The following is a 14,346-nucleotide window of genomic DNA, read 5'->3' on the forward strand; positions in this document are numbered from 1 at the left end:
AGCACATGGAGCAGAGCTAAGTAAGTAGCTTATGCATACATTTAACAGAAATTCCTAGAGCCCTTGTCTGGTCTCTCAGGCGCCTCACTGATGGTCAGTGTGCACATGTACCCTAAAACTTAAAGTATAATAATAAAAAAAAAAGAATCATTAAATTGATGGCATGTTTATGGATAGTGGAGTTTCAGAGGAGCATTTTGGAGATATCAAGTAGGCCACTCTCAATGGAGTTCTCTGGGTCAGGTGCATGGTTGGTATAATAATATAAATTTGAGAATCATTTGCATAGGAAGAGAGATGGATGGAGTGAGTTACCATGTAATTTATTGCCCAAACCAGAACACTTTAGAAAGTAAAAGTGGTGTTTTTAAAAATCCTACTGAGACAATAGGCAACTGAGGACGTCCTAGAAATGCCAGGAAGAAAAACTAGCAAAATAATAAAGGAAATACCAGCAAAGAAAGAAACCTGAGATTTGAATGATCTTGTCATAAATTTCTTTACCAATATTTCATCAATGGAAACTGGCATTGTTTTGGATTAACATGGCCATATAAAAATCACTGTTATTTGCAACCCATTCAGGTAGGAAAAAAATCAATAACATTGCTTTAAACTAAAATTGAAAGCCATCCTTTTTTGTTAGGATTGAAACAAATATTGTAGAGTCACTGTTTGGATATTTTTGTCAAGCTTTATTTAATTTTTTTTTTTAGTTTTGAAAGGCTCTTTGTAATTATAACTATAGAAAGTGAACTGATTTTAGATGAGATATATCATTCTTAGTGGCTACTCAGCACCCTTTGACAATTTTTCCTTTCCTTTCTTTTGACACATGCAATCCAAGGCTCCCTTGCCACTATGTGCCAAGTAGCCTGCTGGGAAGCCTGTTACTTTCAGTTTGAAAGTGACTGTCATGGTTGATACTGCTTTTTCCCTTGTCCATCTCTGATATACAAATGATACCTAAGCTATAGGAGCAGTCTGGCATCAGTGAGGGAAAGGCCAAAAATAGATATATTGGACCTGAATTATTGAGCTAGTTAGATGGTATTCAGTGTCAGTAGCTATTTTTTTGTTTTGTTTTACAAGTGAGAAAAATGAGCTCCTTTTATTTAAGACACCATTTATCAGTTTTTCTATACATTTGCAGCGAAAGCATTTCACAGTGATGCAAAGAGCCAAGAGGTGGTTACTAAGGAACTATTCAAAAAACTCTCTTGCAGAGAAGTTGCTCAGCATTCATGTTCATGGCCACTGATTTCCTTATGACGGATTTTAACTTCCTATACACTAAAATTTTAATGTTAAGTGATAACTTGAGTCTGAAAAAAGTCAATCAGGATGTGGAATAATGTTTTGGCAAGAGGAATGACATGACTGGGGCAAATTTGGATACTAATTTTTCATCAGTTCCCTGGATGCTTCTGAGGGATTCAAATGTACCCTGGTAATGGTTTGACAACACCTGGGTGGTGTTTGTGCGCTCTGGTTTATATACTAATGGAGGCTGTTAATGGTCCTATGGGAGTGATTCACAAAATGAATTACACTGCCCATTTTGTTGTTCCAATCTGGATCAGGTAGACAGGATACTGTGGAGGCAGGGATCTACTTTCTACCTCCTTTTTGCCATTACCAAGCCTGCTGGGTGGAAGATGAGATTCAAGATCAAATCCAATTATATCTAAAATCTCATTCCTATGAAACTTTATGAGAAGGTTTCACTGTACTCCACGTCCATACTCAAAACACTTGTGTTCTTTGCAGCAGTAATAGCCTCTCATGATAAGGTTCTGCCTTCCTTAAAAGGTGAGGGATATATGGCACTCACCTGACTTCCCTTTAACCCATATCCCATGTACTTAGGCTTGTGGGATGGAAGGTAAGTTTAACAAAGAGTACCCTCCTGGCTATATGCTTTTCTATGAAGGCCACAGTATGGAATCTTCACTGGGCTTTAGTCTTAATTGTCTTAGGTTTTTTTTTTTTTCTCCTTTTCCTAAGAAATCCATTAGGCCAAATATTGGTTTTATTTTCTACTACAATGTCTTCTAAATTGGATTCTGTAGTCATGTGCTTAGATAAGTTTGGAAAGGGTAAGCATTAAACGGTTATTTTAATTTTAAGTCTTCTCAGAATTGTCATTCCTGAGCTTTTAAGATTGGTCGTGTAGAGAACGTTTTAGACACATTTGATCAAACTCTTTCTTTTTTTCTTTTTCCTTTTTTTTTTTTTTTTTTTTTTTTTTGAGACGGTGTCTCGCTCTATCACCCAGGCTGTAGTGCGCGATCTCGGCTCACTGCAGGCTCCGCCTCCCGAGTTCATGCCATTCTGCTGTCTCAGCCTCCCGGGTAGCTGGGACTACAGGAGCCTGCCACCACGGCCGGCTAATTTTTTGTACTTTTAGTAGAGATGGGATTTCACCGTGTTAGCCAGGAAGGTCTCGATCTCCTGACCTCGTGATCTGCCCGCCTCGGCCTCCCAAAGTGCTGGGATTACAGGCGTGAGCCACCGCGTCCGGCCACCAAACTCTTTCTTATGGAGAATATTGTGGAAATAATGTCTCATGAAACACACATGGGATTTTGGCAGATTCATGTGGTAAATTTGGAGGTGTGTTTTCATTCTGGAATGAGGCAGTACTATTTGCATTCTGCAGCCTCTCTTTTTTGTGTGCGCCCTGTTCAAGTATTAGGTGTTTTCCCTTTCCAACATTTTTGTATTTGAAGACTAGTATCAAAGGAATCTCATGATATGAACTTGATTGTCAGAGTGGGAAATGCACTACTCAGTTTGAAGAGTCTGAAGCAGCAATCTGGAGACCCATGGGCTAAATGTACAATATGACGCACTGTCTGATTGAAAAATGAAAAATGCAGTAATGAGTGTTAGAGCTGGAAGATACTTAGTTAACTATTTTACTCTTCTTATTTTACAAATGAGAAAATTAGTGCTATAGCCTATTCTTGGTTAGCAGCCAGTTAGTGAAAGAACCAGAATTAAAACCATTAGCAAATTAGTATTTTTTCCCATTACAATATTCTTTCTCACAATTCTTATAACATAATAGTACTGTAGTAAATGTTTGTTGAATAAATAGATGATTACATTAATAATAATAACTGAATATTTTCTCTAAAGCTGTCTGCCTATATTTTCCTTCAACATCTCTAGAATCGTTCTCCTATAGTATTTTATAGCCTATCCTTCTAAATCGTAATTATTCGGATATCAAGTGAATTAATTTGTCATCCAAGTTTTTTCTTAATAGTCATAAAAATCAACACTTTATTTCAGAATTCTTCCACAGTTACCCATAAGGGAAATAAGAAAGAAACTGTATGGCATGGATGCTTGATAATAAAGATGGAACTGAGACTGATAAAGTATTCTTTGAGAACAAATTTCTCACTCCTGCTTCACACTCTCTCCTACAACTAATGCCTAAAGTGGCTTTTGTCACTTACAGATGCACCATCATGATAGCCAAATGAGTTCACAGTAGACATTTCTCTGGTGTTCTTAATTTGTGAAGTCGCAGTGGCCTCTAAATCACTGGACCCACACTTCCCTCTTATGGTCTTTCATCATTGTGTTTTCTGGGAACAAGTAGCACACGCTGACCTTTTTGTATTCTATTTGGGAACAAGACCTGTATTCAATCAGAATGACCAAGCCTGACCAAGTCTGACATTTTAGTTTAACCATTCATCCAAATCTGAATTAAGAGACCCATATGTGTGAATGCAAAGACACATCTGCATGCTATTGGGTGAGCAAATTTGTATATCTGTGTATCAAACAGGCATATAATGAAAGTCACAAACATTAGGTAAAAAAGCTATACCAATGCACTGTGACCTTTTTGGTGGATATAATGTCCTTAGTAATCTAAGACTTTGAAGAGAGTCACTCTCAAGTTGGCAGAAGGAGGTCAGAAAGAAGCTACTACACATTCTATAGTGACATGCTCCCCAAAGGAGAGTGAAAACGCTTCAGAAAGATAAGTTGAGTACTATGAATTCTCTTCATATGGAATGTAGTGTGCATCTGAACCTCTTCTTTACAAGTGCTCCCAATTTCTCCCAGCTGTTTCATACCTGCTACTGTCTCATTCTAAGCCTCACTCCAGGGTTTTGATTACTGACATTCATAAGGTTAACTCATTTGTATAAATAGCTTGATGTCTCATGACAACCTACTGTGTTCAAGATATGAGTATGCAATATTTTGGCAACTATTCCTGATGCTGAGTTTTACTTTTACATTCTTTAAGTAGTGGTGCTCTTTTTGTTAAGTAAGAAAAAAAACGACCCGCAAACCTCTTTATGAACTATACAAAGTAACCAATTCTGTCAAGGTAATCTCATAAGCAAACAGAAAATGATGTCCGAAATGATATAATTCAGTGTGACTCAAAAAACCTTCTGCCTTAAAACAGCTGTTTTTTTTTTTTTTTTACATTTTCAGTTTGTTTTGGGGTGTGTGTGTGTGTTTATGTGTGTGTGTGCACGTATGTGCAAAAATGCTCAAATTAGTCATGATTTAGTGTGAAACGTTTCTTTCATGTGGTTCTCTTTTAAAACAGAAAGCTTTAAGAGAGAGTGAAATAGTAAGCTCTTGATATTCTACAGTCAATAAACTTATGAGGTATTTTTCTCATCTGAGGAAAATGAAATTGAAATATTGAGTTTAGAGACACCAAAGACAGTTTTTGTTAATTTTCAAAAGTTTAAAATAACAAAACTTTGGAATTGGAAAGAATGAACCCATACTTAATAGTCTTAATTTGTATTTGTGGGCGTTTGATATATCTTGAGGATACCATTAAGAGTAGGAAATAGTCTTTTCACATATTGAGGTGGGTTAAGTGGAGTCCTCATCACTTAATTGTAAGAAGTATATTAATTTAATAGATGCAAAGTCAATAGCACTCAAACTACCATTTAAGTCAACTCACCCTTTATTCTTATATCCTGCACTTGATACTCAATAAGTTGAATCAAAGATGATTTTCAAAGTGAGTTGACAGTGGTCAGATTTCTTTTATAATTGGGTGCCAAGACGATTATGCACACATCACATTTACAGAGGCCTTCTTCTCAAGTAGTAATTTCTATAACACTGGTTAGAAAAAAGTAGACAAGATGTGATTTTTGAGTACAGGTTCTCAAAAAAAATGTGCAAAGCTGGAATGTAATTGTAGGCTGTATTATTAACTCAAAGGCTGGCATCATTTCAGCATAAAAAAATAACAGTTATGGGAATGAGGACCCCCTTTTTTTAATCATGAAAGAGCTTGTGTATGGATATTATGAGGGATTTTCCCGAGCCTTATTCTTAAACAGATTACACTATTCAAAGTCTCAAAGAATCAAAATCGTGCTCAGCTGGGGCAGTCAATGTGCAGTCTAAACATGTGACAGATGCAGAGAAAACTTCAAAGATGCCATTACAAATGCCTGTGGAGATATTTAAGGAGCCAGATGCTACTGTTTCATGTCTTCCGCAGCTCTGAATGTGTCCTGTGATCACCTTCCAAAGAGGAGGTGTGGTTCAATATGGTGAGGAACAGAATGCCACCTAATCTTTTTGTTGTTATTGTTTGCATACATTGTATGGTTGGGATGTGAGGGTTTGGGATTAATGATGCTAACAGGGAGGATATGTATATGAATTTACTGTTCCTTATAAAAACATGAAGGCACAACTGCAGCGAAATATGTATATGATATATTCTGTGAGAGCTCTCCTGTCTAAAAAAACATGATTTATAGGTGTGTATTGCCATGGAAGCACTTTTTTTCTTTAACTTTCACCATTTATTTAGACACTAAAAGAGGTAATAAATATATTCATTATGGTTGGTGTTTTATTTCCAATTTTGTTTTGATGTTGAAAAATAAATTACTTGAGACAACATATTATTAAGTACATGTTTCATTTTCATCACTATTGCATTCTGGAGAAGAACTTAAATAATATTTTGAGATAGAATGAAGCCCCAGGTAAATATAAAAGTGGTGAGATTTAACAAAAATTCTACAAAACACCACCTTCCTTTATTTTATATGGGTTCTTTATTTTTAAAGTTTTCTTCTCCATAATAGACTATGGGAGAGAGTTTATTCTATTTCAACTTTAAAAAATACAATTTCATAGGCTTATTATTCCAAATAGAATAAAGGGAAAATAAGGACAACTTCTAGGAAAGATAGAATATAGCAAATAAAACAAACCAAAACATTTGAGTCACTATGTAATGTTGAGCATATTTTTTACATTGCAAAGTGATTCTGTCCAAATTTATTCTTTTTAATTACATGTATGATTTATCCTAGCCTATCTTCTGTTAGATCAAACCTATGGAGAGATTATTTTATTAATTTCTGAATTGAAATTTGTGGCTTATTATAAAAAACTTATATACATAATTGTCTACATGTAAAGGGATGGCCATAAGTGGAAAATAAATAGCAAAGGATATTTTTCTTTCTAATGTAAACATCTGGCAGTAATCCTTGCTTACACAATTAATGGGCATTTAATTGGCAATGATCAGTTTATTGCTGCAATATGAAGTGAATGTTTCCCCAGGAACAAACAGCTGTTGCAAGAATTTCAGTGATTTAGCAAACACCAGGTGATAGCTGTATCTAGAATGAAGTGCTCTGTCTCTCAGCAAATCACAGTGCACTGGAAAAGAAAAGAAAAAACAAAACTAGGTTAAAAGTAGCATAGCTGGAGAGACTGATTGTCATTGACATTAAAATCTATCCAAAGACCAAACTTAATAAAACAACAGATTAATTACATTAGATGGTATTCAGGTATTCGTGCCTCAAATAAAAAGAAAGAAAGAATTTCTCTAAGAAGCTAATACTAAGTTGGCATGACATTCATCTATTTAAAAGTAGTATTTTATGTCTTATTTTAGAGATATAACAGTTGATGAGATGTGTTTTTGTATTCTAATATTTTATCGTTTTATAAGTCTTAGAAAATTTGATAGTCATGATTCTAATTTTTTGATTAAAAAGTTATTGAAGTCATTCAATGGTTACTGACAATTGTATTTGTCTTAATAGATTTTATTCAACTGTCTCAAATTAAATGTACCACTTTTTAATTTGCATTGCTTGTGCGCTGCTTTCCCATTAAGTTTTAAATAAAAAGTTTTTCATTTTTCATTATGCACTCTTATTACTAATTTAATAAAATGATAATAGCTATGCAAACTTTCTGTTACTACTCAGCTTTTGGCATAGATTAAATTATACATTTTAAATGCAGCACACTGGCAGACACTGTGATTTCATAAAGCTGAGTTTCATTAGTGAAGAAAGTAATTTTGCTTTAGCAAAAAAAATGCTTTTATTTACTATGCTATTTAGTATTAGCTCATGCTAGAGTCTATGAACAATGAACTCAAATGAACAAAGCATCAAGGGCCAATTTACAGAACAATGCTTTTATTTTTTCATGCATGCATTCTGCAATAATTCATCTCCATGACAAAAGCAGACAATCAATCATCTTCTATTGTGCCTTTCTCAATAAAATTACCATTCTTGATGTAACAAAAGAAAGCTGCCTAAGTAACAGGAACAGTTTTACATGCTCAAATCAATAAATTGACCATACTTCAAAAAACCTTTACCCATTAATATGACAATGCAGTTTTATGTTTAACTTATCCGTATTAGTATTAAATTTTTGTTAAGTTCCATTGTTCCTTTTTTTTCATTCAAGAAAATGAAAAATTTAAGAAAGTATTTTAAAGGAATGCTTCCAATTGTTTCAGGGACAAAACTTTCTGGCCTGAGAGTATTGAAATACTATCATCTTGTAATTTTATGTAAGTTGAAATATGTCACATTTAGCAAATGAAATTCCTGTATGTGTAACTCTTAAAATCATATGGCATCTATATACTACTACAAAATGTGTTGTGAAATCATGTAAAAATAGCAGATTTAAGTTGATCTTGTAATACATGGTATGGTTCCTAAAGTAAGATGTTTATATTGTAGAGTATGTTAAACGAAACAACTTGTCCACATATTTCAAAAAGTGTAATATGTAAATATGATGTAAAGAAAACTTAAGTTCAAAGGTTAAGTACAAATTTCCACAGCAGGAAAATCATGAGGAAATGTTATAGATATAGCTACATACCCATTGTGAATAACTACCTATTTTATTTTCAACTAGAATGGTCCCATAAAAAAGCAAAGACTTTAGAAATTTACTAGCTAATGTAGAGTACAATACAGAGATATGTATTTTGCTTTCATATGATTTATGAATGCAACACTATTTTTGGTCTAAAGTCTTAAAGAAATCCAATGGAATTACAACAAAATTCTTAGATTAAAATATGAATAGTTCCAAATAACCTACCAAAGCAACAGGATTAATTTGAGCTAATAACACTCATGCCATTAACCACTCCAAAATTCATAGCACTTTAGAACCTCTGAAGACTTTCTATAATTGTATTTTTTTTTAATTTTTTAGTTAATGAGGCCAGGCCATAACATGTTTCAAGAAAACGAAATCCTTTGCTACAGAAATGCAAATGCAGTGGCTTAGTATCTAAAATACTATAGAGTATAAATGACTGAGAATAGTTTTATTGCAGTTCATAGGCCATTACAATATTCATAGTTCACAGTAGTTTATACATCAATTATCTAATTAAATTCTGAATATTATCTGCTCATAATATTAGTGGTTTCTGAATTTACAGTATCTTCATGGATTAATTCACCATGTCACAAGAATGGCATTCTAAATTTGAGAGTAAAAAATAAATTACTGTATATTTTGTCAGATTTTTTAACCACTAGCAATTAATTTGAAAAATTGCAATAAAAAGTACTCCTATAATGGAAAGTTTAAAGTAAGCATTGAAAATTTTACTACACTCTATTGTAAATTAAATGTGTTAAAGAAAATATTGGGTCATAATAGACTTGAAAGCTTTTTTTTAATCTTGTTTTCTTTTCCCTATGAATCTGTTAATTCATGTTTATTGAGTTCCAGGTTAGTGGGATGTAATGAGTTATCTACTGAGAGAGATTTATTATTAACAGTCAGCTCTTATGAAAAATATTTTTTATTTACGTGTTATTCTAACTCAATTCAAAGGAACTTATTTCAGGGAATACCGGAAAGTCATTTTATGTTGGATACTTCATTTTTGTCTTAACGATCCTTAGCTATAGTTGCTGAAGAAAGGAAAAGCAGAAGATATAATTCAACAAGAAAACATAATGTTGTTTGTCATACCATGACAACCATATTGCTGAATTTTCTTGAACTGTAACTTAGCTTCATAGAGACTTTATGCCAGGGATCAAGATTTGATTTTTTTTCCACATGTAGAAACTTTACAGCTCTACCAGTCAATTGCTTTCTCTAGTAGCCATCTCAGACTCTTTCCCACACTCCCATATCCTCTCTCCCTTTCTCTTTCTTTCCTTTCCCCTCCTCCTTCCCTAATGCTGCCAGATCAACTAAAGTGTAATGAACAACGTACCTAGGATTTCCTTACAACCTTCACTTTGAAGGCAGAATGGAGGGCCCCTGAAACTCCCATCAAGTGCCATTTCATTAGCCCTGGGACTTTGTTTAAATTACGTAGCCATTACTACTGTCTGTGAAAGCCCTTGGTTTCTTTCTTTTATGGATTGTAATATTTATTTCTAACACACCTTTCAACAGCAAAGCTGAAGAAATAAAGTCACCTATGCTGGAAGGTATATAAACCAAGAGGATTCTATCAAAATTTGAAGTGTTTTTGTTTTGTTTTGTTTTGTTTTTTTGCCCCACTTTAACAGCCTTATTCAGATCAGTAGAGTGCTTCTTATTTTGGGCTGTACTTTCACTGAATCTTAATCCTGGCTAATCTGTCCTTGTTAGTAAGATATTGGTTTGAAATTACAGTTTTTGAAAAAATTTTGGCAGATAATACAAGTTAAAATCATAATTATTAGAGAAAAATCCAGGCTGACCTTTTTGACCAATCAACTTGCACCTTGAGATTAGTGTACTGTAGAGCCTCTCACACTTTAGTGAGCATCAGATTCACCTGGAGGGCTTATTAAAACACAGTTCACTAGCCCCCACTCCAAGAGTTTCTAATTCAGCAGAAGAGTGGGTGGCAGAGAATTTGCCTTTCTAACAAATTCCTATGGTGTGCTGATACTGCTGGTCTGGAGACAAGAGTTTGAGAACCACTGTTGTGTTAGTCGATCTAAAAGATATTTTACATCTTACATTTGTGAACCCTAAAATCTAGTGAATATATCACATCATGTTGGGGTTTCTAAAAAAAACATGACTTAATAGTTTGCCAAAGACTACATTATTTTGTATAATATGAACAGCATGCTTAATGTTTTTGACTCAGGCAGTTTGTGCCTTCAGGCTGATGTCACCAAATCCTAAACTTATTCTGCAAAGCTGGGTATTTTTACCAGATGTTGCTTTTGGAGATTAAAATTATTTATAAACCATAGTTGTCAAAGTTCTGATTAAAGACAAATTTCTTTTTACACTTGTACTTCAACAAAGTCAAGATTTGTAATGCCTTGACTCGTACTTTTCTTTCTTATAATTAAATCTTCCTGCCTCTACCTGCTTTGCTACCCAGTGGAGAATGTGCATCATATCACTTCAATCACTCTCTTGCCAATTATCTCCTTTCTGATTTCTGTTAGCTCTTCAAAAATCTAACTCTAAATACTTTCAATTATCTCTCTTTCCCTAAACTATACACAGTCTGCTGAGTGCTGATGAAAAGAAAATCACACTGCATAACCACCACAAATCTATGACCTCCAATCTCAACTGGGTCCATCTTGCTATCTCTAGCAGCCCTTTCTTCAGTTGCTTTTTTTTTTTTAACCTGCTGTACCTATTCTAAAACTTATCTTTCAAATTTACTAGGCAACCACAATATTCATCACTCTGCGAATATCTGCTTTACAGAGAAAGTGCTAGAAATTAAATAAAACACTCTCTATCGTCATATTCACCCTTACCTCCAACAAGAAGAAAGAGAAAGTTCTCATTCTTAAAGCAAATCCATTTTCAGTGTTTTGGATGTACCTCTTCATAAGACCTCATTTCCTTGATTATTCCCCATTCCAACCATATATTTCTTTTTCTCTCCACTTTCTTAATATCAGCATTAAAACCATAGTTAAATTTCTTCCAGTTTTTCCATGTTTCTTTTTTCTAGAGACCCACCTTCTCATCCTTTCCCTGGCACACTTATTAAAGGATTTGCCTCGTCTCATCCTCACCACTTCTAATCTATTTAGATTAGCCACTTCTCAGCTCATGGCTAACAACTCTCTTCTAGAAATATCTTCTTTCCTTACCTTCTCCTACATTTTGACTGCTTTTTTTCACTCTATCTATTCTTCAGATACTGTTCTATTTGCTGGTTTCCCAAAGCAGGGTGATCTCAACACCCAGTCTTTGTTATATTTTCAAATATAGCTTCCAGCCTGCTTTACTCCTTGAATACAAACCGGTGTATCCAACTACCAACTGGAGATCTTTCCTAGAAGTCCCACACTCTCTCCAAATTAAACTTATCATCTTGTTCCCTAAAACATGCTTCTTATCATGTGGGTTTTTAATTCCATGAAAATGTAGGATAACACAGTATATAATATTTTACTTGGAGCCAACAGGTCATAGAGTGCCACACTGCCACTACGTGAGTTGGTATAAGTCACACCACTACATCTCTGTTTCTTCTCTGTAATATTAGAATAACAAAATACACAAAAATATTTATATTTTGTTTTACATAAATTATTTTTTCAGATACTTTAATGTTACTGCTTTATAAAAATGGTGCTTGACTTGCTTAAAAAAAGCTAACATATATTCAAGACATAGACACAGTTAGGCTTGTGGCTAAGCAAAACTAGAGATAACAGGAGCAGCAAAAATAAGAACCATAAGGAGAACTTAATAGAATTGAGCTATTAATTTTAGGGAAGGAGGGAAAGCCATAACTTAATGGCCTATGTGACATGATTGGATCAACAATAGTAATGATTTATCTTATCCAGTGACTATTGAACAGAAAAGTGTGGACCAGATAAAGAGAGATTATGATTATATATTAATACATATTTTCTGACAGTGAGAATTATTAAACATTGTAATGAGTTGCTTTGGAGGTCTCTAAGAATTGGATAGATTTTCACTAGTCCTGCAAGATCCTGACACGTGAAATTGCATAGGGATATAGTAAGTACTCCTGAGGCACCTTCATAATTCTATGACAGCTCTGAAAATTTGCTTGAAGATATTTGAAACATGAAATTTAGATTAATATTCCTGGAAACATTCTGAAGGTTTAATTCAGTCTGAAAATTAACAATTAGTCATCTAACTCACAAAATGGCTTTTGTATCTTTTACTTTTTCCCCTGTCCAATTAATCTTACAATCTATGTTTCAGATGAAAGATTCAAACATATGACTGTGATCAGATTGGCCCCATACTCAAAGACATTCACACATTTCTTGGTCTAGATCTTTACATCCTTGATCTGATCCCCAAATAACATTCTAGCCCAATCTCCACCTCCATTTCTTCATGAATCATAAGTGTAGACAACTCTCATCCCACTTATTGACAAACTGGCTCTATACTTTTTCTTCCTCCTTTTCTCCTATCTGTGTGTATGCCTATTGCCTAACTGTGCACATGCTATTCCCACCATATGCAGTGCTCTTTTCATTTCTATCTATAACAATTTCACTCACTGTTCACATCCTGTGAAGTTTTCCTTTCTCATCAGATGCAGGCCCACTATGCAGCTATCATTTGTTTGTACCTTTATCTCTACTTCTAGATTATAAATTCCACAAAGCCAGAATCTCTTTCCTATGAATCATTATATTCTCTGTGGCGTACTGGCTGCTTTTACATAGTACACAGTTTCTGCAAATTTGTCTAACTATAAGAATCACAATTAAGGATGCAGATTCCTGGGCTCAGCCTGGCTACTGAATTAGGATCCTTAAGAGTGGTGGTAGGGAATCTCATCAGAAGGAAAGTTTGGAAATAACAAACACTCAAGTACTTAGTGAAAGAGTGTTAAATGAATGAACACATTCCTTTTTGTTTCTTTGGAGTTTCCTATTCAAGAACATTTACTCGAGTGTATTTTTCTTTGGCTTTTCTGCCTTTCTTGTCCCTCACATCTCCACTGAAACACTCTAGTTAGAAGGGTGTTAAACTCAGCAAAAATTACTTTCATTAGACAATTAATAAATAATATTTGGAGCAACCTTGTAACTCTTACAAACAACGAGTAGTTTTGAACAATATTTTCATCTGGTAAGAACGAGTTTAAAGTAATGGGGTAGGCACAGTGAGAAGACTACAATGGTGTGTCTCTAGATGTTTTTAAGTCACTAGGTCAATTTCAGCTGGATGGACTTCTTCACAGGCAGTTTAGAACTAAGGGAAAAGCCTGAACCAAAAGACCACTCATCCTTGTTTTATAAAAAACTTGGTTATGTGACCTTTGGAAAGTTCCTTAATTTCACAGAGCTCAATTTATTCATATGTAAAATGAGGGGGTTGGAGTAGGTGATCTCTAAGGTCTCTTTCAGCTCTAAATTCCATGATTCTCTGATTCTTGTTTTAGCTGAGAATTTCATTTGTCTATGTGATTTCTTTCTTGCCTCTGAAATTATAATTGAGGGTTGATTATACGTATCCAGCGCAATTATCCATAGATCATAAAGATTTTTATTATTATATGTGGGAGATTAAGATGTATGAAGGGCATAAGAATGAAATTTCTACAAAGTGTAATGATAAAAATAGTGTTTTATATTATAAATTTTCTTCTTTAGAATATGATAGTGGCCCTTTATTAAAAAATTAAGATCAATACTTAATATTTAGTGTTTCCATTCTTAAACTAATAAGAGACCTGAATTTAAAATATTTATGTATTTAACATACTTTCATATAAATTTATGTTACATCATTATTAAAAGCACTGAGCCATGGCAAATGATCTATTACATCATGATTTACTGTCCTGTATTATCTTACTTGATGAATTATAGCATGTCATGTTTTGATACATATAATTTTTAAGATAATTAGAGATACAAAGCCAAAAATGCATTACTTTTGAGCATATAATTTAAATAGCTGATGGCACCATATGAGAAATACAAAAAGTAAGACATTTTATAAATTATTCACATTATATCTGTTTTTCTACTCTTATATTTTAGTATTATATCAGCCATGTTCTTGGAAATATAATCCCGTTTTTCCAAAGTA

At 33.9% G+C, this 14,346-nt stretch overlaps 1 annotated feature.

Annotated features, from left to right (window-relative positions):
* Positions 4,793–5,903: an enhancer, noted in NCBI's record as "VISTA enhancer hs1227". NCBI's record gives its function as "enhancer in: midbrain (mesencephalon)[4/6]" and the evidence as "EXISTENCE:transgenic organism evidence [ECO:0001131][PMID:17130149]".

The sequence above is a fragment of the Homo sapiens genome, chromosome 5, assembly GCF_000001405.40.
Source record: "Homo sapiens chromosome 5, GRCh38.p14 Primary Assembly".
Taxonomy (NCBI): domain Eukaryota; kingdom Metazoa; phylum Chordata; class Mammalia; order Primates; family Hominidae; genus Homo; species Homo sapiens.